This window comes from Homo sapiens, chromosome 14, assembly GCF_000001405.40.
Source record: "Homo sapiens chromosome 14, GRCh38.p14 Primary Assembly".
NCBI lineage: Eukaryota > Metazoa > Chordata > Mammalia > Primates > Hominidae > Homo > Homo sapiens.
The window spans coordinates 71649350-71671965 of NC_000014.9; the positions used below are offsets into that span (position 1 = coordinate 71649350).

At 36.8% G+C, this 22616-nt stretch overlaps 1 protein-coding gene across 58 annotated transcripts in view; it reads left to right on the forward strand.

Annotated features, from left to right (window-relative positions):
• The window catches only part of SIPA1L1 (signal induced proliferation associated 1 like 1), a 420734-nt gene that overhangs the window by 328874 nt on the left and 69244 nt on the right, over nt 1-22616 (forward strand). For all 58 annotated transcript variants that reach the window (XM_047431217.1, XM_047431229.1, XM_047431218.1 and 55 more), the window contains 4 exons: nt 986-1160; nt 8984-9087; nt 11961-12118; nt 21770-22343. In XM_047431217.1, coding sequence (XP_047287173.1) covers nt 986-1160; nt 8984-9087; nt 11961-12118; nt 21770-22343 — 1011 coding nt within the window. The remainder of the gene's footprint in view (nt 1-985; nt 1161-8983; nt 9088-11960; nt 12119-21769; nt 22344-22616) is intronic.

Consider the following 22616-nt stretch of genomic DNA (forward strand, 5'->3'; position numbering starts at 1 on the left):
CCTGGCTAATTTTTGTACATTTTGTAGAGACAGGGTTTTGCCATGTTGCCCAGGCTTGTCTGGAACTCCTAGGTTCAAGTGATCTGCCCCCCTCAGCCTCCCAAAGTGCTGGGATTACAGGCATTAGCCACTGTGCCCAGCCCAAAGTACACATTTTTATGTTGAAAACTCATTGCTTGTTAAATGATCAGTAACACCTTAAAATTTCTTTGCAAAATGACTGGACTTTTCAATGATGAATAAATGTTTTGATTAATGTTATAAGTAAATCTCTTAATCCTTCATTTTAACTGCATTTGAGGAAGAAATATTTGCCATTAGCTGATTTGCCATTGTGAGGCCTCTTTTAAAGTTTCTCTGCAGACACTCATCCTTTGGAAAACTATTTGAAAGAGAAGTTGCTCTAAGTACAGTATTGATGATAGTAGTGCTGTAACAAAGATATAGGCAAGGTTTATAATTTAATATATTGGGAAAAGGGTATTGGGAGATAAGTCTTTTCTAATTTTACAAAAAAAAAACTGCAAAAATATTAGTGGACCTTTTAGTGCAAAACAGTTTATTTTAAAATATGTTTTATAAAGTAGACCTCTGCTTTTAAATTTGTAAAGACCTCCCTTTTAAAAGGGGGGACACCATAAAAAAAGAATTGCCTTTAGTTACCAGGATTTTTTAATAACCTCATTTTGTACTTTGTAATTGATTAACAGAAATTTCCTATAGTACCAACAGATCTGTTTAATGGTGCATGATCTTTACATACAGGAAATTTTCATTTATTTTTCTGGCCTTTTCTCAGTTCATGAAGTTCGTAGATACTTGCTCCACTTAATTTTGGATCAAAGACGGAAAATACAGAAGGATTTCAAGAGAAGAAAGGTGTTAGCTATTTTCTGGGCATGTGCCCTATAGGACCTTTTAGCATTTGACTGGGACAAAGTGGATCTGCCTATATTTATATGCATCGTATTACCTGCCTTCACAGCTGAACTACCAGCAGAAAGTAGGCATCATGTACTGCAAAGCTGGACAGAGCACTGAAGAAGAGATGTACAACAATGAGTCAGCTGGCCCAGCCTTTGAAGAATTTCTTCAACTATTGGGAGAGCGAGTTCGGCTCAAAGGATTTGAGAAGTATCGAGCACAGCTTGATACCAAAAGTAAGAAATACTTACACCCTCCTACTAGGCTTATTTTCCCCCTGTTGTGCTGTTGTGCATCTGCTAAATTATCCGTAAAGCAACATTGCCATTTATCGCAGAACACTGCTGGTGATGGGGGAGAGAAAGCCAGAGAGGGAGGATGTAGCACCAGAACAGTTGAAGATCATAACCAAAGTAGCTAGAATTAGACTCTAAAAAAATAGTGTTGTCAGAGGTGTGTGCATGGAGTGGGGCAGTGACACAGATCGTGCAGAATTGCTCCTGGGTGAGCATTGTGTAAATTTCATTACATTTAGCCAAATGTTAGGGTGATTAAAAACTCCGGAAACTTACAACTGTCTGAGTGTAAGCCTGGAATTTTTGACTTCCATTAATTCATTTCATAGTCTTCATGTTTATCTATGTAGTCAGCCTTTGTTTTTGTTTTTTTGTATTCTTTTTACATCTAGGGTTTTTGTTTCTATTATTATTATTCACAGTCTACTTAATCTCTGAGAAAATAGGCTTTTTAGCTTTGGTATTAGTTTAGCTCATAAAATGTGTTGATTAAAAGCATGATAATGAAACAATCTGTTTAACTATGGTGCATGAACCTAAAAGGTTGTCCATGTCCAGTCCCCAAGTTGTCAGTAAAATAGTTAACATTCTCAAATGCCTATTTTGGTTAGCTGGGACTAATCAAAGAGTGTGTTGACTTTTGCTATGTGTCTGTGTGAAAGCAGTTTTAAATTTTATCTTTAAATTCATCCATAGACACCTGTGACCTGTTTTTCTTTGAGAGGGTCTTGGGATTAGCACATCTGTATTGCAGTCTATAGTAATCTCTCTGATTTTCTGTACAGGAAATTAAATAAGGAGTTGAGTCATGAAAACAGAAAAGCATTCATAAACTCCACTGCAGGGAAGAATTTCCTGTTGCCATGGTTTTGCTGTTGCCAACTTGGAAACGACATGCAAGAGAGACTATTAAAACCCATAAATAGCCTAGCTGCTTAAATATTATTTTAACATTCTGTACTCTGCTTGCAACTGCATAAAGATGTTAAATTTCAGTATGTCCTTAAACTCTTTTTATCCAGCTATTCTGATATTCACCTGGTACAGTTCATTCATGTTGCCCCCATTTGTTGTGCTGTATAAATTATCACTACCACAAACAGTTATTGAAAGGATCTGGGAAGAGAATGTGTAATAAGCTCAGTGATACTATAAATGAATGGTCAGACTGGGAGTTGATAAGATTGTGTGTTATCTGTGATGAAGGGTGATGTGAGAAATGTATAGCTAGGGTATCGTTAAGCAACATGACATGTAGTAAGGCAGTGGAATACACAAAATAAGCACTTTGTGCACAGTTTGTCCAATTATCCCAACAACTGCAAAGGCTAGAGGGGGATGAGCCTGGATTACCAAACAGCCTCTTAATGTAGTTTTGGAATTATATAATACCTTCAACAGGGAAAGATTCTTTTTCACTGAACTACTCTCCTTTAAGTAGTTCAACTTTATGAGGCATGTCTGACCTTTCAGGGCATATTTCCTGAGAAGGATTCAAAGAATCCTTCTGTCCTTTTAAAATGTCGCATTTCCTAAAATGAACGAAAAGTAGGGAAGTATTCCTACTCTGAAGCCCCAAAGAAGACAGTACGCAAAATCATCTCTTTTACTCCAAGCTTATTAATAGGGGCAAAAACTAGAGTCTATTCACTATGCCATTTAAACCTGCATTAAATAATCATAGACCACCAAAATAGGCAACAGCCAGCCTCTGTACACCTCAGCTGCCTCCTACTGGGCTGGACACTACTAGAGATAAGACTTCGTTCTGTGTGCTGTGATGTAATCTCACCATACTTAATCTAACTTTATGTTGTGTCAAGAAACTTTGAATATAATTCTTTTTCTAAAAAAGTGCTTTTCAGAACAAATGTTCAAGGATCATTCCCACTGTAGATGTCACTTGAATCTATGGGTTTGTAGTTTTTATCAAATTAAAGTACTATCTGCTGTTATTTCTTTATTTTTTCTGTCTTAACCTCCCATCTCTCTGAGACTCCAATTACACATATGTTATATCACTCACTGGTGTACCACAGGTTAATGAGGCCCTGGTTCTTTTTTTTTTCCCCCTAACCTTTTTTTTTCCTTCTGTGCTTCAGTTTGGATAATTTCTATTAATATATCTTAAAGCTCCTTGTGTTTTTCTTTTCTTCCATGGTATCTTAATTCATTGTTAATCCCGTCCAGTGAAATTTCCATTTAAGATATTATATTTCAGGGCCAAAAGTTGCATTTGATAATCTTTTTAAATGTCTTCTATTCTCACCTTTTTAGGTTCACGCTGTCCTTTAGATCCCTAAACACATTTATAATAGTTGTTTCAAAATGTTCATCTGCTAATTTCATCATTTCTCTCATTTTCAGTTTCTTTTTTTAATGGGGTTCCTTTGTATATATTTTACTTCCTCACATGTCTGGTTGTTTTTGATAAGATGTTGGATATTGTAAATGTTTCATTGTTCAGTGTCTTAATTTTGTTATCTTCTTTAAGTGTTGAGTTTTGTTTTGGCAGGCAGTGAAGTTGCAGAACAGCTTGATTTTTATGAGTCTTATTTTTAAGCTTTGTTAAAGCATACCTAGAGTAGCTTTTACTCTGGCTAACTTAGCCCTACTACTAAGGCATGACTTTTCTTGCACCTCAGTACTTGAATATTCAATGAAGTGTCTACTGTGGCTGTTCAGAACTCATTAATGTCTCCCAACCCAGTGTGAACTGTGGAATTGTTTGGCTTATAATTCGTTGGTAGTTGTTCTTTCCCTAATATTTTGTCTTTGCTTGGCTTTTGGAATTTATGCATATGCATATGCAGCTTACTGTCCAACTCAAGACTCAAAGGGACCCCTATTCAGATTTCTGAACCTTTCATCTGATATTTCTTTCTCTTTGGTATTCTGCCTAGCAAATATCAGTCACCTCAGACTTCCTGAACTCGAGTCTGTCTTGGCTTCCCCCTTCAGTACCTTGCTCTGTGTCAACTGTCCCACAAGTACCTCTAGGTAGAAAGCCCAGGGGTCATAGGGCTCATCTTCTGTATTCTTTTTTCTCAAGGATCACTATCCAAGGCTGCCTGTTCTCCAATGTCTGCAAACAGTTGTTTCAGCTATTATATCATTTTTTCTAGTTATTCACAATGGCATGGTAAGTGCTGTATCAAGCACTTCATTATGGCTGGAAGCAGAAGTCCCAGATACTTTTGATATGTATGCCGTCTCGTTTAATTCCGACAAACCTGCTAGATACCAATTATCCCCACTTTACAGAATTGGCTTCTTTAGATTAAGTAACATGCCCATGGTTAGATAGCTAGCAAGCATTAGGAAAGTAGAATAGATCCCAGTAGTGTGGTTAATGAAGTGTTCAGAGAAAGCATAAATGTAGAATGAAGTATAGCAAAGCCCCAAGACCGGCCTTTAGCCTATGTCTTCCTCCCTCTTAAGCCCTTGAGCTAACAGTACTCAAACCAGCTCATGAGATAGCTCTACTTCATGCATTATCATCATATTCATTTCTTAGTATTTTTGTAAAGGAGGACGAGGCTCAGGGAAGTAATGAACTATTGAACCATTTCTTCTTTTTCCCAGTTATCTGTGCAAAGACCATCTACACATTTCAAAAATAAGGATTTGTAGCAAACAAGCAAGCTACAAATAAATATGTCACAGGCTGGAACAATTCTGCAATGAAGAAATTTTTAATAGGGGATTTTTCCTTCTTTTTTGTTTTCTTATTTGGATGATATAACCTAGATAATTACCATTCTCTCACACTACAATAAATACAATAAACTTCCCACCAAGCAGTTTGTTATTTGAAAGCTGGAGACCATCCTCATTTTTAGCTACGTACGTGGATTATTTGGGGGAATTATTTCCTGACTGAGGCTTGTTTGTCACGTCAGTACACAGGAGACTTAGAAGCCGTTTGTAAAAGCTTTCCTTCAAAGCCCTGCCTTCATTAATTTGCTGCAATGTTAGTGACTGTTTGTTTTCTCCTCCATTTTTCAGCAGTGTTATAAATGCAGTTGAGGTTCAAGATCTTAAAAGAGATATAAGACTTTTCATAAAGAAAGATTTGGAGGCAGATCATGTGATTGTCAAGGAGGCAGATCATGTGATTGTCAAGGTGACCTATATAATGCCTGAATTTACTTATTAATTAAAGCTCTATACAAATATGAAGTAGCATCATTCTTTCATCCTCCTTCTACAAGCACATTGTCCCTTTAGAGTTGCTCAATACGCTCTTCAACCAGATAAAAAAGCATTTTTTTTTTCATTTTCCTGATAGTCATTCTATTAAAACTTTCATAGTTTCAGGGTTTCATGGTCACTAAAAATATTATAATAAGAGCATTGGATGCTTTATTCCTTAGTAATATAGTAAACAGTCTTAGATTCGGGAGGACATGTCCAGGTTTGTTAACAGGGGTATATTGCATAATGCTGGGGCTTGAGCTTCTAGTGAATCTATTAGCCAAATAGTGAGCATAGTACCCAGTAGGTGGAGATTTTGAGGTGGAGTAGGGTTCTCCAACCCTTCCTCTCAACCTTCCTCCCCACTTTTGGACTCGCCAATGTCTGTTGTTTTCATCTTTATGTTCATGTGTACCCATTGTTTAGCTCCTGCTTGTAAGTGAAAACATGCAGTATTTGACTTTCTGTTTCTGCGTTAATTCACTTAGGATAATGGCCTCCAGCTGCATGTGTGTTGTTGCCAGGGAGATGATGATGTTCTTTTTTATGGCTGCGTACCATTCCATGATGTATATGTACCATGTTTCCTTTATCCAGTCTACCATTGATAGACACTTAGGTCGATTCCATGCCTTTGCTATTGTGAACAGTGCTGCAATAAACAAATTAGTGCAGGTGCCATTTGATAAAATTATTTCTTTTCCTTTGAGTAGATACCCAGTAGGGAGACTGCTGGGTCAAATGGTAGTTCTATTGTTAGTTCTTTGAGAAATCTCCATACTGTTTTCCATAGTGGCTGTATTAATTTACATTCCCATGAACAGTGTATGTATATTTTCTTTTCTCAAAATCCTTGCCAACATCTGTTATTTTTTGACTTTTGAATGATAGCCATTCTGTCTGATATCAGATGGTATCTCATTGTGGTTTTAATGTACATTTCTCCAGTGATTAGTGATGTTGAGCATTTTTTCATGTTTGTTGGCTACGTGTATGTCTTCTTTTGAGAAGTGTCTATTTGTGTTATTTACCCACTTTTTAATGGGGCTGTTTGTTTTTTTCTTGTTGATTTGCTTAAGTTTCTTAGAGATTCTGGATATTAGTCTTTTGTTGGGTATATGGTTTGCAAATATTTTCTCCCATTCTGTAGGTTGTCTGTTTACTCTGTTAATTATTTCTTTATAGCAAACATTCTTTTTTCATTCTTTCTGGTAAAGTTTAATACCTCTATGAAGTGCATAGTAATTTCAGGATTTTGGAATTCTTTTCTTCTTGGAAAGAAAAGTTTCATTATTTTAGCCCTAGTTTCATCTCTGAAACTTCTGAAACTATTCCCAAACTGTTGAAAATTATCAGCAAAACTCTATGAATCTAAAAGACCTCAGAAAAAGGCTGGTCAGATAGCATACATTGTGTGAAATGAGACGTGGAGGACAGAGAGAAGGGGCTAGAAGTAGAAAAATAAATGATCTTCAGTGTTTTCTTCCCCAGCAGTTTTCCTCTCTGGCAGTAATCCTTTTAGAACTAGCAGGCATATAAAGCACAGTGTAATAAATGAATACCAATGACATTTTTTTTTTCTGTTTCATTAATTTTGCTTAAAATTGACTTGAAACACATGTATAAGTACACGTCAGTGGTGACACATTCACTTTAAAGTTTTAAAATGTGCTGATCTGTTCTATACATATTTATAGAAAGGGTTCTTGACAATAGATAAGTTCTTCACGTTCAAGACCTGTCTTAAATAGTTCAGTTGAATCCTTTGTTGTAGTAATACACAGTTTTTTTGTTGTGATGGTCATTAATACTTAGAAGATATTTTTCTTGGATATTTATATGTTGTTACATAGTTTTCCAATTTTTGAAAAGTAGTCTTTGCTTTGTTCTATTTTTGACTATTTTTAAGCCTTCGCATTTTATGTCAGCTTCAAAATTAAGATTCTCCAACAAGCTCAAGCTTGAAACTCAGAGCTCTAGAATATCTTTAGAAAGCTGTCTGCAAGCCACAGTTGTAGTCTATTCTTAGAGCAGTACCTAACGGCAGCGGAGTTACTGCATTAGAGCTACCTGGGAGTGTCTGTGAAGAATAGATTCCCCTGTGAGGCCCTATACCCACTGAGGAGTATTTTGGGGGGTGGGCCCTGGGAATCTGCCTCTTAATTTAGCTCCACAGCTGATGCTGTGCATACTAAGTTTTCAGAACTACTGTTGCCTTTTGGTATGTGTCAGAGACTTTGTCTGAGAGCATCGTTCTCTAAAATGCCATCAAGTGTTTTGGTCCTCAAAAAATAGGGTCGAGGCCAGGTATGTTGGGTCACGCCTGTAATCCCAGCACTTTGGGAGGCCAAGGTGGGTGGATCACAAGGTCAGGAGATTGAGACCATCCTGGCCAACATGGTGAAACCCCGTCTCTACTAAAACTACAAAAATTAGCCAGGCATGGTGGCATGCACTTATAGTCCCAGCTACTCAGGAGGCTGAGGCAGGAGAATCGCTTGAACCCAGGAGGCAGAGGTTGCAGTGAGCCGAGATCGCACCATTGTACTCCAGCCTGGGCGACAGAGTGAGACTGTCTCAAAAAAAAAAAAAAAAAAAAAATTGGGTTGATAGAGGGTTGAGTTTACCTACAGTGAATGTACTTCTGTTCCTTTTGCAACCCCTAAGTCCAGATCCTTTGAGTCTAAACAGGTATTCCCTTTGAGTTGGGAAGTTAATAACTTTTTTCTGCAGCTTCCAGGTACTTGTGGGAACACTGATTCTGAAACTTTGTTAAGATAAAGGCAGTAGAGGTTTTTTTTTTCTTAAGGAAAGTGAGAACACAACATGCTTAAGTCTTAAAAAAATTGTTAGACGTTGCTGTGTCAACTTTGTTCTTCAGTGTTAATGGTCTTGTTAAATTATTGTCTTTTTTTTTTTTTTTAAGAACAAAACAAGTCTCTTGCTTGAATTGGAAGTATTAGAAAAATGTTTCCTAACTTGATGTGTCGACAGAATTCAGGGGTCTGTGAACTTGGATGGGAAATAAGATTTTCTTTATTTTCACTGACCCCAAGTTGAAATTTAGCATTTCTGTTCATTATGGCCATAGGCAGTAAACCACAGTAATTCATTTACCTGTGATTTCATTGCCAATAGAAAGCACAGATATTTTCGTATTATATTATTTGTTGTTGCAGACATCTCAAGAGTGTTTGTGCTCATCATGTCTTCAGCATTACAGTAGATATTAGACCAACTGCTAAATCTTGTTATATAAATCTTGTGCATTCATATTTAAAATTATTTGATACTGTGCGCTTCGATATAATTTCTTTTGAAATCTTATGTTTTTTATTTTATACTTTTACAAATATTATTCTGAGAAGGGATCTGATCCGTAGGCTTCACTAGACTGCCAAAGAGGATCAAATACAAAAAAAAAAAGGAAGAACACCTGTCTTGTCTAGAATCTTTTCATCCTAAATCATTTTCTTTTCTTCTCTTTTCTTTTTTGAGATATTTCTCTTAAATAAATTATTTTTCCTGTTATAGTCATCTCATCATTATATTTTTTTTAACTGTAGCTGACTCCACTGGAACCCATTCTCTGTACACAACATACAAAGATTATGAAATTATGTTCCATGTTTCTACCATGCTGCCATACACACCCAACAACAAACAACAGGTAAGAGATCCTCCTGTTATCTGTGTTTTCACCCTTGTTTCATTTCCTCTAGAAGCCTAAGTGGCAAGTTTGTAAAATCTTAAACCAGAATTTAGTGTTGCACCTGTCACAGCAGCGGGAAGCTTTGTGCTTTGTGGAAGTAAGGAATAGCAAATGAACTGAAAACAAATGAAGAGACACAAATTTTAGGTTAACAGCCAGCTGGATGCCTTTGTGAATTAATCATTTGCTTTTCACCCACGGGGATTGAGGTTTTCATGAAATCTGAGGAACAAGTTGAAATCATTGGTGATTACATGACTCTGCAGGGTTGCAAAGAACATCCATGAGTGGGTGAAGTTTCATCTCAAGAGGTCAGTGCACAGAATAGGAAAGTTCTGAGGTTGCATTATAGATTTCAAAGGAGATATAAAATACTAACTTGGAAAAAAGTCAAATGTCAACAGAATGATATTCTTCCTTACCATGTTCATTGGGAGATAGCAAAGAACATAAATAACAATTGCATATGTGCACATCATACACAGAGCTTCTCTTAAAATGATCTAAAAGCTCAATGCCCAATTACTAAAGTGTAAGTGAGGTAGTAAAATGTGGAAACTAAGAGGTGACAGATTGTTACAGAGCAAACTGGAAACTGGCACTATTGTTTTAGGGAATATGTGGTAGTTGATTTTTTAAAATATTTTAAAATAAATAGTAGCAAATTGAAATTTAAAAGAACCAGAGAGCTAACACACACTTCTTTTAAAAGCTATTACAAACTTGAGCAGTCCAATTTTACTTCTGACCTTCAAATGGATATGGATTTTTGTTTTTGTCAATTGTTGTGCTAACAGAGCACAGGCCAGCTGCAGAATGAATCACATCCTCTTTCACAGAAGTTAACCAAACACTGATCTAATCTAACACTTTATCAGTTTACATTTGATTAAATCACAAATCTAGGTAACAAAGTTTTGCCTTTCATGATTGCCAGTGTAATAAAAAATAGAGAGCAAAGCAATGAATCAGCTATAAATCTGAAGTAAACCTGTTTTAAGATAAACTCCCTGATCTGTACTTTGTTGATAATTTGTTTTATGCAAATTCCAGATTTTAGCTCTCTTTGAAAGAAAAACACCATGCTAAGAAAGGCATAATAAACTTATTCTGACCAGTCAGTAGATAAAAAATTTAAGAACATTAACAAAATGATCCTTAAAGAGAGCATAAAGGCTTATTCTGCCTGATCACTTAGAAGAGAAAGATGAGATTTGTAAGGGTAAAAAATTTACTAACAAGATTGGATTGATTATTTGTAACTAAATGAGTTGAAGTGGTAGGCAGAGAAAGTGGGCATTTAAATGGCAGCTCTCTCAATTATTTAATTTTGGAGTCCAATCAAGGCAAAAATGTTACAGTCTTAAATCAGAATGAGAAAGAAATTGGTACTGCAACATATGAAAAAATTTTCACTCTCTAGCCAAAAAATTTATTTTCCTCTATGTAGATTACTTTATGCTTGGAAAAAAAAACCAGGAAAAATGTATCTTTAAAAATTCTTTTGCAAATATTTTTAATAAAATATTTTTCATTATATGTAGTATAAGATGGAAAAATGGATTTGTTTCTATTTGGGTCCTTTATTAAGACATTTATTTTTATATGTCAAGCCATATTTTGAAGAATGAATAATATTACAGAAAATGACATCATTTATGCAGGAATGGCATAACATGTAGATAAATAGTATTTGTTTTTGGTATGTCCAAGATCTTGAGTAGATTAATAATCTTTAATTATTGGTATGTTCTGTAGAGCAATCAATACACACCAGCCTTTATTTTCATAACGTCTGTTTGTATATCATATTTAGAAATGAACTCAGAAATAAATTGCTTCATTAGAAGACAATTTGGGATGCTTTCAAATTCCTGAGGTTAAAAGTGCATTTCCTGAACATTCTAACTCCCAATTTGCAACCCTAATCTAAAAGGCTATTATTTCTCCCACCTGGCAGCCAATACTAGATCACTGATTTTACTGGTTTGCAATTTGTATGCCTTAATGTCACCAGAGAATATTTTTTTAAATACAAGTTTTGTAAGTACAAGCTTATGTCTAATGGATAGTTTATATAAATGTCACACTTAGTTGTTTTTCTTTTTTAAGAGCCTCCGTACAGTAAGTTTGAGAAACACAAATTTTGTTTGGTTTTCCTTTACACTATTGAATTAACTGCTGAAAGGCACTGACCTAGGATGATTTGGGGTGCCTGAGTTTGAAAGCCACCCATCCAAAACCCAGTGAATGTGAAACAGAGGGTGTCCCTAAGCAGCTTTCATTGCAGTTAAAGAAGCTGTTTAAACCTGAAATTTACCTGCTTTTAATTGTTGCAACATTCTGGAATATTATTCTTTTCTACATGCCCAGCTTGTGACACAAAACATATATCAGAAAACACCTTAGCCACATTTTCTTTCAATGAGGCCAGTTAAACCAGAACATAAATTACATTGTAATTATTTCAGCCATTCTCATCTCTAAAAATCTTCCCTGTGGCACGTGTTTTTCTTATGTGAAAATGGAACAACACTGTTGTTATAGAAACTGAGGGTTTGGTGATGTTGGGACCTGGCATAATATGCCAGATATTGGGTAGATCTATTTGAATGGCTGTATCTTTTATGCAAATTTCAGAATGTTCGTTTCTATGTTCTTCCTTAGAGGGAATAAGGCAGGTGAAAACATTGACAGTACCTGTGTAGATTACCTACCTTCATGTGTACTGATTAGGAATGGATGTTTTAAATACAGCTATATAAGGGAATTGGGGTGGCGGGGGAAGCAAATGATTGTTATTTATGTTGGTTGCTTATTTTTTCTTGTAGCTCCTGAGGAAGCGGCACATTGGAAATGATATCGTAACAATTGTTTTCCAAGAGCCTGGAGCACAGCCATTCAGCCCAAAAAACATCCGATCCCACTTCCAGCACGTTTTCGTCATCGTCAGGGTGCACAATCCGTGCTCTGACAGTGTCTGTTATAGGTGTGTATGGGTGTCACAGCAGGGGCTCTGTGGATGTTGGCTGGTTATCGCATAGAGGCCCCATTCAGCTCTGCATTCTAAAGTGGCAATGGGAAGTCTATTACTATTTCTTTTTGTCTTTAAACCATGCATGCGGATGGCTGAATTCACATGATGATGTAATCTGGTGGCATTGACATTACCCAAGCATGTTGGTTAGACACCTGCCGTTTCCATTTGCACCTCCTTCTTAGGTGATGTCCTTCATCCATACCATCTGGTCACCAACCAACTAATTACTCATATTGCTAATTATATTTTTCTTTTGGCATGGCAAGAGCAGAGAAGAACGATTATAATAAATAGGGAAGAGAAGTTAATTTTTTGAAAAGCATTGTTATTAAAGAAGCCTAAATCCTTGCCTCTGACTTACTTGATTCACGTTAGCACTCTGACTACAAGCTTAGAAACGCTTCTATACTTTATTTAGCATTATTGAAATTGTTTCAGTGTTACTTGTTGACGTAGTCACATGAGTATCAGAATTCAGGCCTCTATCTGCAGAGACCTTTCTTGTAAGAATACTAGAGTTAGGAGTTGAAGGAGATAGGGACCTGTCACGCTAGCTCGATAGGGGTGTAGTGCCAGAATGTGTAAGGGTAATGTTCTGGCATTTGTAAGATGTTTTTAATGTGCATCAGTTCCTTTCAAAATATGGACATTTGGCGTATCTTTCCATCCCTAAAAAATGTTACCTGCATAGAAAGTGACCTGTGCACATTGACAGTTTGTGAGATCCACAATTGTATATTTCTAGGAGTAAGGCAGATTAATTCTAGGAGTAGAGTAAGCGTAGCTTAGGGAAAAAAAACAAGTAGAGGTTATGTTGGTCTCCTGCTGGCTGTCACCATCCTTGCACATATCCTAATAACTGCATTGGTTGAGCTCTTGTTATAAGCCCCAAACTATTCTAGACATCTTACATGTATATCCCATTTAATCTTTAAAACCTATGAGGTAGGTACTGCTTTTATCTCCATTTTCAGATGATGAAATTTCAGCCAGGTCACTTGCCTCAGGTTAGCTGGCTAGTGTTGAGCAGAATTAGACAGGAATGCAGTCAGTTTGATTCTAGAGCCCAGTCTCTTAACCACGCTGCTATGCCGCCTCTCTTACATGCTGGGAAAGCTGGGTTTTTCACTCCGAGCTCCCAACACAGAGGCTGTTCCAGAACTTTTCAGGTGCTGAGCCTAGGTGAACACCCAAGACCAGGGAGGTCTGTAGTTTCCTAGGGTTGGGGCAGAACCCCCAACAATGAAGACCTAGATCTGAAACCTCTTATCAAGGAAATGGTGTCTGAGAGCTGCTCTGGTTAGTTGTAGAATGAAAGCACAGAACAATTGACTATAATTGGGATGGATAACTATTTGCATTTAGAAAATACTCTGAGCAGTTAAAACATGCTATGTACTAGATTCATGCAAAGGATTTCATACCACTTGACAGGTAGAAAGTTAAGCCCATTTTGAATGGGCACTTCAAAGTTTGGGGAGTGGAAAGCTATGCAGTTTCTTTTAAAGAGAGTTTCTTCTTTTCAAGCCTTTGTCTGAATCAGTACCGTCCAATGGGACTATAATGCAAGCTACATATTAATTTTACATTTTTTAATAGCCAGATTTTTTTAAAAAGTGCCAAGATATAGATGAAATTAATGTTGACACTGTTTTTGACCAATTTATACATTTTATTTACTCAGTATATCTAAATATTATTTCAACATGAATTAACATGTGATTTCAGCATTTAACAATTATTGTGACATCTTACATGGTTTTTTGGACTAAGTCTTTGTAACCTGAAGTACATTTTAGACTTACCGCATATCTCAATTAGAATGCTAAATTTTCATTGGTGATACTTGATGTATATTTAGATTTCATAAAATTTATAATGAAAAGGTAGATTTAATATACCTAGATTCTTCCAAATGGACTTTTAAAAATCTTTAAAATAACAGAATTAAGTATCCATTTTTAAATCATATATTAATTAAAATTTAATATAATTTGATATTCCTTGGTCACACTAGACACATTTCAAGTGCTCAATAGCCACAGCTGGCTGTGGCCACTGTAATGAACCACACAAGTCTAAACAGACTGCTCAGGGAGGTATGTTCTCCTTCTTCAGTGCTTTGTTTTTTTATTTTTATCATCCCTCCCCTGAAAATTAGGATTTTTGCTTTCTCTCTCTTATTTTTAATCTGTTGCCTGGAGAGCCCACCGTTTGAACCCCATCATTTAATGCTAGAAGTCTTTGCGGGAAGTGGGATACTGAACACCCCTGCTCAAGACATGTGGGCAGGTCTGGAATTTCCTAGTTACCAGGCTTGTTTGAAGGCCCAACACACAGCTTTTAAGCTGTGAATTTTGGCCTGTTTATAAATCCAAGAAAACATTAGTTTGTAACATCACTGAAAGAAATCACAAGAGATTATAGAGCAGTGACCTATGCCTATTGCAAACTTTAAAGATCAATAATTTTTTGCCATCCTTCTCAAAAGAGGCAGGCACACCTCCTCAGGTATGTGGTGATGTCAGGAAGTGTTTGAAGACACAGAATAAACAGGACACCTTTCTTCAAGCCTTTAATGTTGGGGGGAGGCAGGGTAAGGACGAGCTTATTTTCTCATGAAAATAAATGTATTATGAGGTAGAATGGAAAATATCAGTTTTCAGATAAAACATGGGTCTTCAAAGAATTTCTACACCTGTGAATTTTTCTCAAGCCCCAGCCACTCCCCGAACTACTAGGGATATGAATTTATAGGCCTGTTTTATTAGGGGTGGTTTGGTGGAAAAACTTAGACATGGGTTGATTTATACTCATTTTATTTAAATCTAATTTAATTTTATCCCTAAGTGATATAGCTAGAGTAACTCAAATGCTTTTTTAAAGTTTTTTTAATTTTTAAATTTTTGTGGGTACATAGTAGGTGTATATATTTTTGGGTTACATGAGATATTTTTATATAGGCATGCAGTGCATAATAATCACACCAGGGTAAATGGGGTATCCATCACCCCAAGCATTTATCCTTTGTGTTACAGACAATCTAGTTATACTCTTTTAGTTATTTTTAAACGTGCAATTAAATTATTTTTAGCTATAGTCACCCTGTTGTGCTAGCAAATAACTAGGTCATATTCATTCTTTCTATTTTTTGTACCCCAAGTGCTTTTTAGCATTTAAAACCTCTTGGTCCCAACTTTCTCCACCATGAACACACATATTTATTTACTTACACCTACCTGGTATCTGAACTGTGGAAAGGGGAGAAGTTTCCTTGAAAGAGTGTCTTGCAGTAATAGTGTGGAGAGGTGTGGGGTCATTACAGGCTGAAGTTATATGGATATTTATGAGAAGATGGGATTTGATGTGTGTGTTAAAGCATAGCTGGATGGAATTCAATGGGAAAAAGAGAAACCATTCTAGGAGTGGTCAGTGGAAAGGACAGAAGCCTAGAAATGGGAAGGAGGATGGAAAGTACAATAAAAAGGCCTACTAATGCAGAAAAGATGACCAGGCAGTAGAGGCCTCCAGAATGCTAGGCCATCAATTCAACACTACATAAGTAGAATTCCAGGAAAAATTATCCAGTGTTACCATGCTAGGTAATTTGTACACAGAAAGATAAATTTGGAGACTGTCATTATCCATTTATTTTTCATTAGTTCTTTATCCAGCCCTTAGCATATATGTGCTAGACACTACTCTGGACCCTGGGATATAACATGAGAACAAAGAGAGAAAAATCCCTATAGTGGATCTAGACATGAGATCTCAAAATAATGTGGTATTATACCTCCCTGGGGACTAGAAAGCTTATATAGGAATAACTGACTAATTCAGACTAATTCCAGAGGCCAGTTAATGTGAGTCATCATGTAGCCAAGAACTCAGAAATCAGTCACTAAGTCTGCATACTAAAGCTTATCCCATAACTGATGAGAGCCCTCCAGTCTCTATTGTTTTATTTGTATCGTTGCAGTGACCTTAATTATCTGATCCCAGTTGATAGAGAAGATTAGAAGCAAAAAAAAGAAGAAGGAGCTGTTAATAGCGAGTATATACTGGAAACAAATACTTGTTTATTGATAGAAGAGATGCTGAAAAACTATTCACATCAAAGATATGAATTCAATAAGCATAGCAATCTGGGGCCATTTGATTTTGGGGCAAACAGCCAAATATAGTAGTTCCTCCTTATCTGTTGGGGATATATTCCAAGACCCCCAGAGGATGCCCGAAACCATGGATAGTGCCTACCCCTATATATACTATGTTTGTTCCTATATGATAACGTTTAATTTCTAAATTAGGCACAGTAATATATTAACAGTAATTAATAAAATATAACAGTTATAACAATATACTTTAATAATAGTTATATGAATGTGGTCTCTCTCTCAAAATACCTCACTGTACTATACCACGGCTAACTGAAACCACAGAAAGTTAAAACCATAGATAAGGGGGAACTATTGTGTGCTTCAGTCACTCCTGAGGGCTTCACTGTGGAAACACAGTGTAAGATAATACCATTTTTCAACAACTACAGAATTAATGGATTTAAGCATTGATCATCAAAGGATGCAAATACTATAAAAAGAGACAAATATGTGCCTCATAATGGAAGAATACAACCTCACCTATGAATTATTTTTGCTACCCCCTAAAAAAAATTAAATCTGAATCTGATCAAGCTTCCAGAAAAGCCAATTTATAGGAAATACAAAAGACAGAGGAACATGTTTGTAGTTGACAAAATTCAGACCCTGAATAACTCTGCAGACACAATGCCCCATTTCTTCAACAAGTAAGTTGCAAGAAATAGTGAGGAAGTGGAGGGGAATCTACAGAATAAAACATTTTTTAAAGCTAAATTAATTGCAATGTGTGGATCCTATTTGGATCCCAATTTAGACAAAAAGACTATAAAGAAAATCCTAGGACATCCTAAACAATTGTAAATTGGAACATTGACACACTATTTGATGAAATAAAAGAGTTGTTATTCATTTTAAAACTAAAATAGTAATAAGTAGTCATAACAAGGACCCTGATTGTTCAAAACAAATATTAAACTGTGGTCAGTAGGTATGTTTAGGAAGGTAGAAATATGTGTTACTCCTCTCAGAGAGGTTTCCATACCCGGTAATTAAAATGTAATAACTGTTGAAAGGAATCTGTATGATATAGTACAAAAAGCACTTGGAATTAGACCAAATTGTTAAACAGTGCAGTGGGAAGTTGCTTGACATCCACTTAAAATCCTATTAAGTAAAATGTCTAGCATAGGCAGGGAGGAAGCGTGATGCATGTCCATTAAATGTCTGTGTTCATCCTCTTTCCTCTCTGTAAAAAAAAAAAAAAAAAAAAAAGAATTTGCAAGCTTCAGCTGAGAAGAAGAAAAATCCAAGTAGGTCAAGTGATAGAAATTTCTTTCAGAAGGTCTATTTCAAGCCTCAATTAATCAGCATCCCTATTGTCCACTGCAGCTGACCTTTCTAAGACAAGAATCTGATTATGTCATTTATTGTGCTTAAAAGCATTTAGAGGAAAGTTCAGACTTGCAAGCATAGCTTACTGCATGGGGGCTTCAGGTTTGGCCTCCTGTCTCTCAGTCTCATCTACCAGTCTGCACCCCATGCCTACCTCACTCCTTTGGAGCTACTCACCACTCCCCAGAACAGCATGCTCTGCCCCTCCGCTCTGCACATGCTGCTCCTCTCACACATTCCCCTTTCCCTCCATCTGATGAATTCCTGCTTTTCTTTTTTCTGAGAAGGCTCCCTGGACCTCCCAGGACTAAAGTGCCTTTCCTAAGTGCTACCAGTAGCACCCTGTACTTCGCAAGTAGGAGACTCAAATCACTGGCTGTGGCTCCCACCAGACTTTGAGTTTCTGGAGGGCTGAGCCCGGGACATCTTCAGCCTTGATCCTCAGCAAAGGCAAAGTGCCTAGCACATAGTAGGTACTCAGTGACTGGTGGATCAATACTATTAGAAATCGAGAGAATGATTGGCACGTGTTTGATCTTTCCTGTCCTTTGCCCAGATCTGCTTTCTTGGAAGCTGCCCTGGCCAGTAATCTGATTCAGGCTCCAAGAAGAGGAAACTTCCTTCTCCCATTTGATGTTTTCTGTATCACCTTCCTTTTAAATTTTGGGCTGGGGATTGTTGATTATTGCTGTTTTTCCATTGTGCTTCCAAAGTTCAAATGTCTTATATTTCTCAATTTTTATCCACTAAACTGTTCAGAAGTCTTTGAAACAGGCCGGGCGTGTTGGCTCATGCCTGTAATCCCAGCAATTTGGAAGGCTGAGGCAGGCGGATCATGAAGTCAGGAGATCGAGACCATCCTGGCTAACACAGTGAAACCCTGTCTCTACTAAAAATACAAAAAATTAGCCAGGCGAGATGGCGGGCCCCTGTAGTTCCAGCTTCTGGGGAGGCTGAGGCAGGAGAATTGCTTGAACCCAGGAGGCAGAGGTTGCAGTGAGCCGAGATCGCGCCACTGCACTCCAGCCTGGGCAACAGAGTGAGACTCCGTCTCAAAAAAAAAAAAAGTCTTTGGAACATTTTCATGTGTCAGCTTGAAGTTGGCTTTGGGTATCAACACTTGTTATTTCATTCAAGCTCTTTGATGCCAACCAATGTTACATGGCCCATATCGAGTAGAAATAGCCTCATCATCTCTTAGGCCATGTGACCCATGTGAATGGTCCCTTTTAGCAGGCACCTCAGGAGTAGGAGGTTTGAAAGCACTTCCTCAGAGGGAGTAAGTGTGGGCTTGTCGTGGAGCACTCTCTTGGCTGTCCAGAAGCTTACATTCCAATCCTGGCTCTCTCTAACAAATCTGGGTAAATCCTTTTACTTCTCTGTATCTGTTCCTGGAGAAGTGAAGAATTTGTACCAGCTGCTCAACCGGAGGTTCATGAAGATGTCAAACCACAGAATACAAACAAGACACCTTCCTGGTCGCTCAGTGTACCCAAAGATTTTGGAGTGAGAAGATATTTTTATATGAAAATGAACACAAATATTTTTCAGTAGAATGTAAAATCGAGGTGAATTTTCAAATGAAACCCAAAGATTTTACTGAAAGAATTTGAGGAACATTGAGTTCTGTTAAGTTCCCTTCCTGTGATAACTTTCCATCACTGTTTTAGCCTCTAGCTCTGTCTGTCTGTCATCTAGATAACCCTGCTGAGTAGAACATTCCAGTCCTCAACAATGCTGGGTAAATAAAGCATGGCTATGATTTTAAAGCATGTATTATTTCCAAGAAGACACAGAATTGCCAACTAGGCTAATATACATACAGCCAAGCAGAGGCCCTTTGGAATCTGCTTTTAAAAATACCAAGAACCGTTTATAATTAATATATCTTAAGTAACTACATGCAGCAAACTGAGATTCTAGAAAGGCTTTTTTTCTAAATATTCTGTTTAGCTTAAACCAGGCCTTATTATCAAGAGTTCAGAATTTGTGGCATCTAAATTAATGAGCTTTTAACCTTGTAGAAACCTTGCCAGTTTGATTTATCCAAAACAAAATCATTTATTTGAAAAGAGCATTCCAGGGTATCATCTTCCTCATCTTCTGTAAGGATTCTATTTCTGACTATGCGAAGCTGATTTCAGTGCCTGTATCATTTACCTCCCTACCACAGTGAATCATTGAAAATTATATGGTAAGGATTCAGTTCTTTTCCTCACAGTTCATTATAGCTGTTTCTAATTATTGGTAGGTTTTCAGTGTATGTTTGTCTAAAGTTCTATCAATTAATAAATGGATCTGCAGAAAGCCAGTTAGTTTAAGGGGCAAGTAGATGGAGGGTGCTTAAAATCACACCCCCTGCTAAACATTTTGCTCTCCTTATTTAAAATAAAATCACAGATATTTTCTGAGAAGGAATAACAATTTGAGTGAAATAGCAGATGAGAAGTTGCCAATTTTAAAGTGAAAGATATTAAATATTTCTGGATTCTTACAGGATTCCACTTAGAAAAATCTAGCAAACCTGGATTTCAGCATCTTTTGCTTGACTTTAAGAGAAAAATAACACGATCAAATTAAAATTATACAGCTGTCAGCGTTCAAGTCAGGCAGTTCACAATAGACAAGAAAAATTGCCTTCCTAATACATATTGGTATAATTAAGCCATATGGAAGTCTCTGAATTCTCTCCTCCAGTTAGAAAATGGAGTGTTGGTTGCCACTGTTCTTTGTCATGAAGTGAACTAGGTAGTCTTTTAAAAATACACTTGTAAAACCAACAGATAGGCCATCCCATGGCATCTTCTGAGCATGTAGCTTTTCCATTCCACCAGAAATATAATTTGCCTCCTGAGGTTGCTGATTTTTATTTTTCTTATTTTCACAAGAAATAACTATTTCTTGAAAAACAAAGCTGAATATCTTAAAGCAAACCCTTCCTAAAGAAAAAAAAGTGAAACAGAGCTCTTCAATTTTATTTGAAAGATGCATACTCTCTGATGATGCCATTTCTATTCCAAGAGTTCAGAAGAAACCGATTTTTTTATTGTTTCCCTAATACTAAGTATAATTGCATAATTTGTTCACTTTTAATTTGGAAAGAGCGATCTTCGATGTGTTAGAATCATTTCCAGTCATGTCAAACTTTACTAAAATCTTGGGAAATGATATAAAACACTCAACCTCTCTATTTCTATATCAACAACTTCCTTTGTTGTTTTAGGAGAAACTTACTTTTTTTCCTTTTGAGGTTAAAAATAATAAGTTATTACAAATGTTCATATGATCCTTTTCTTAGGCCCAATTTTAGGAATATATAGTCAGAAGAAATGACTGGAACAGGCTTTCTTATATCAATCTTGCTTAAAGGAATGGGAGAAGGAAAATATTTTTCTTAGAAATAGATTATCAGAATAAAATACCAAAAGGACCAAGGAATAGCTCAGTTTAAAAATATGATTTTAAAGCGTTGTTGCTATTACATAAAGATTCTCATACTATTACTCAGATTCCAATTTTCATTTTAAAATTATGCTTTTAATCTGGTTGCATAATGCCTCACACTTAGGCCAACAAATACTAGTTAAGTTTTATTGAAATTTAATTCATTTCTTTTATGGCATGCATCTTCTGATATTTTCAATGTAAGCTGTCTGCTTATAGCCATCATATCTAAAATGGAGAACACATTTGTGTTCTCACAGAATGTATGCTTGTTCTGAAAGATGATGTGGTTACAGTAACCTCCCTTGAAAACAGTTAGTAGGTATTTAAAATGTCTTACACAGAATATTACAGTAAACCTATTTTTTTTCATGGAGTTTTGGTCAGTTTCCTGTCTGGTAAAAAAAAAGTTAATAGTGTTAGCTTTTGGGATTTTGGGAGGTTTGTTTTTGGCCTAGAAAAAAAATTATGTTGTGTAAATCCTAAATGCGGTAGAATGAAAAAATATACTCGTATTAAGCAGAAATGTGTGTTGTTTCTCATGGAAAAATAAGCAGCTATTTTGTATCTGAGGTACATCTTTGTCTTTGAGAAAGTATATTTTATTCTGATGTTGTGAGACTGAGAAATACTGACGTGGCTCTCTTTGATCTTTGTCTCTCAGTGTGGCTGTTACCAGGTCCAGAGATGTGCCTTCCTTTGGGCCTCCCATTCCTAAAGGGGTCACTTTCCCTAAGTCAAATGTGTTCAGGGACTTCCTTTTGGCGAAAGTGATTAATGCAGAAAATGCTGCTCATAAATCGGAGAAGTTTCGGGCCATGGCAACTCGGACCCGCCAGGAATACCTGAAAGATCTGGCAGAAAAGAATGTCACCAACACCCCTATCGACCCTTCTGGCAAGTTTCCGTTCATCTCTCTGGCTTCCAAGAAGAAGGAAAAGTCTAAGCCATATCCAGGAGCCGAGCTCAGCAGCATGGGGGCCATTGTATGGGCAGTCCGGGCTGAAGACTACAACAAGGCCATGGAACTAGACTGCCTTTTAGGGATCTCCAATGAGTTCATTGTGCTCATTGAACAGGAAACAAAGAGCGTGGTCTTCAATTGTTCCTGTAGAGATGTGATAGGGTGGACTTCAACTGACACCAGCCTCAAAATCTTCTATGAACGAGGAGAATGTGTTTCAGTGGGTAGTTTTATTAACATTGAGGAGATCAAAGAGATTGTCAAAAGGTTGCAGGTGAGTCTCTCCTTCCTCTTCCTTACATGCAGTTTCTCTTTCATAAAGTTTTCAATACAGACTAGAGCCAAGTTACTGAACCTTGTGCTCTGTTATTAGCTCCTCTGAAAACTCCCTTGATGTGTGAAGCAAACAGAGTTTATCTCATGCTTGTGTTTTCCATGGATGTTTCGGAAAAGTAGAACAAATTGGGGAAGACACATTTACTCTGTGTGTGTGTGTGTGTGTGTGTGTGTGTGTGTGTGTGTGTGCGTTCATGTTCAAAACCCATTT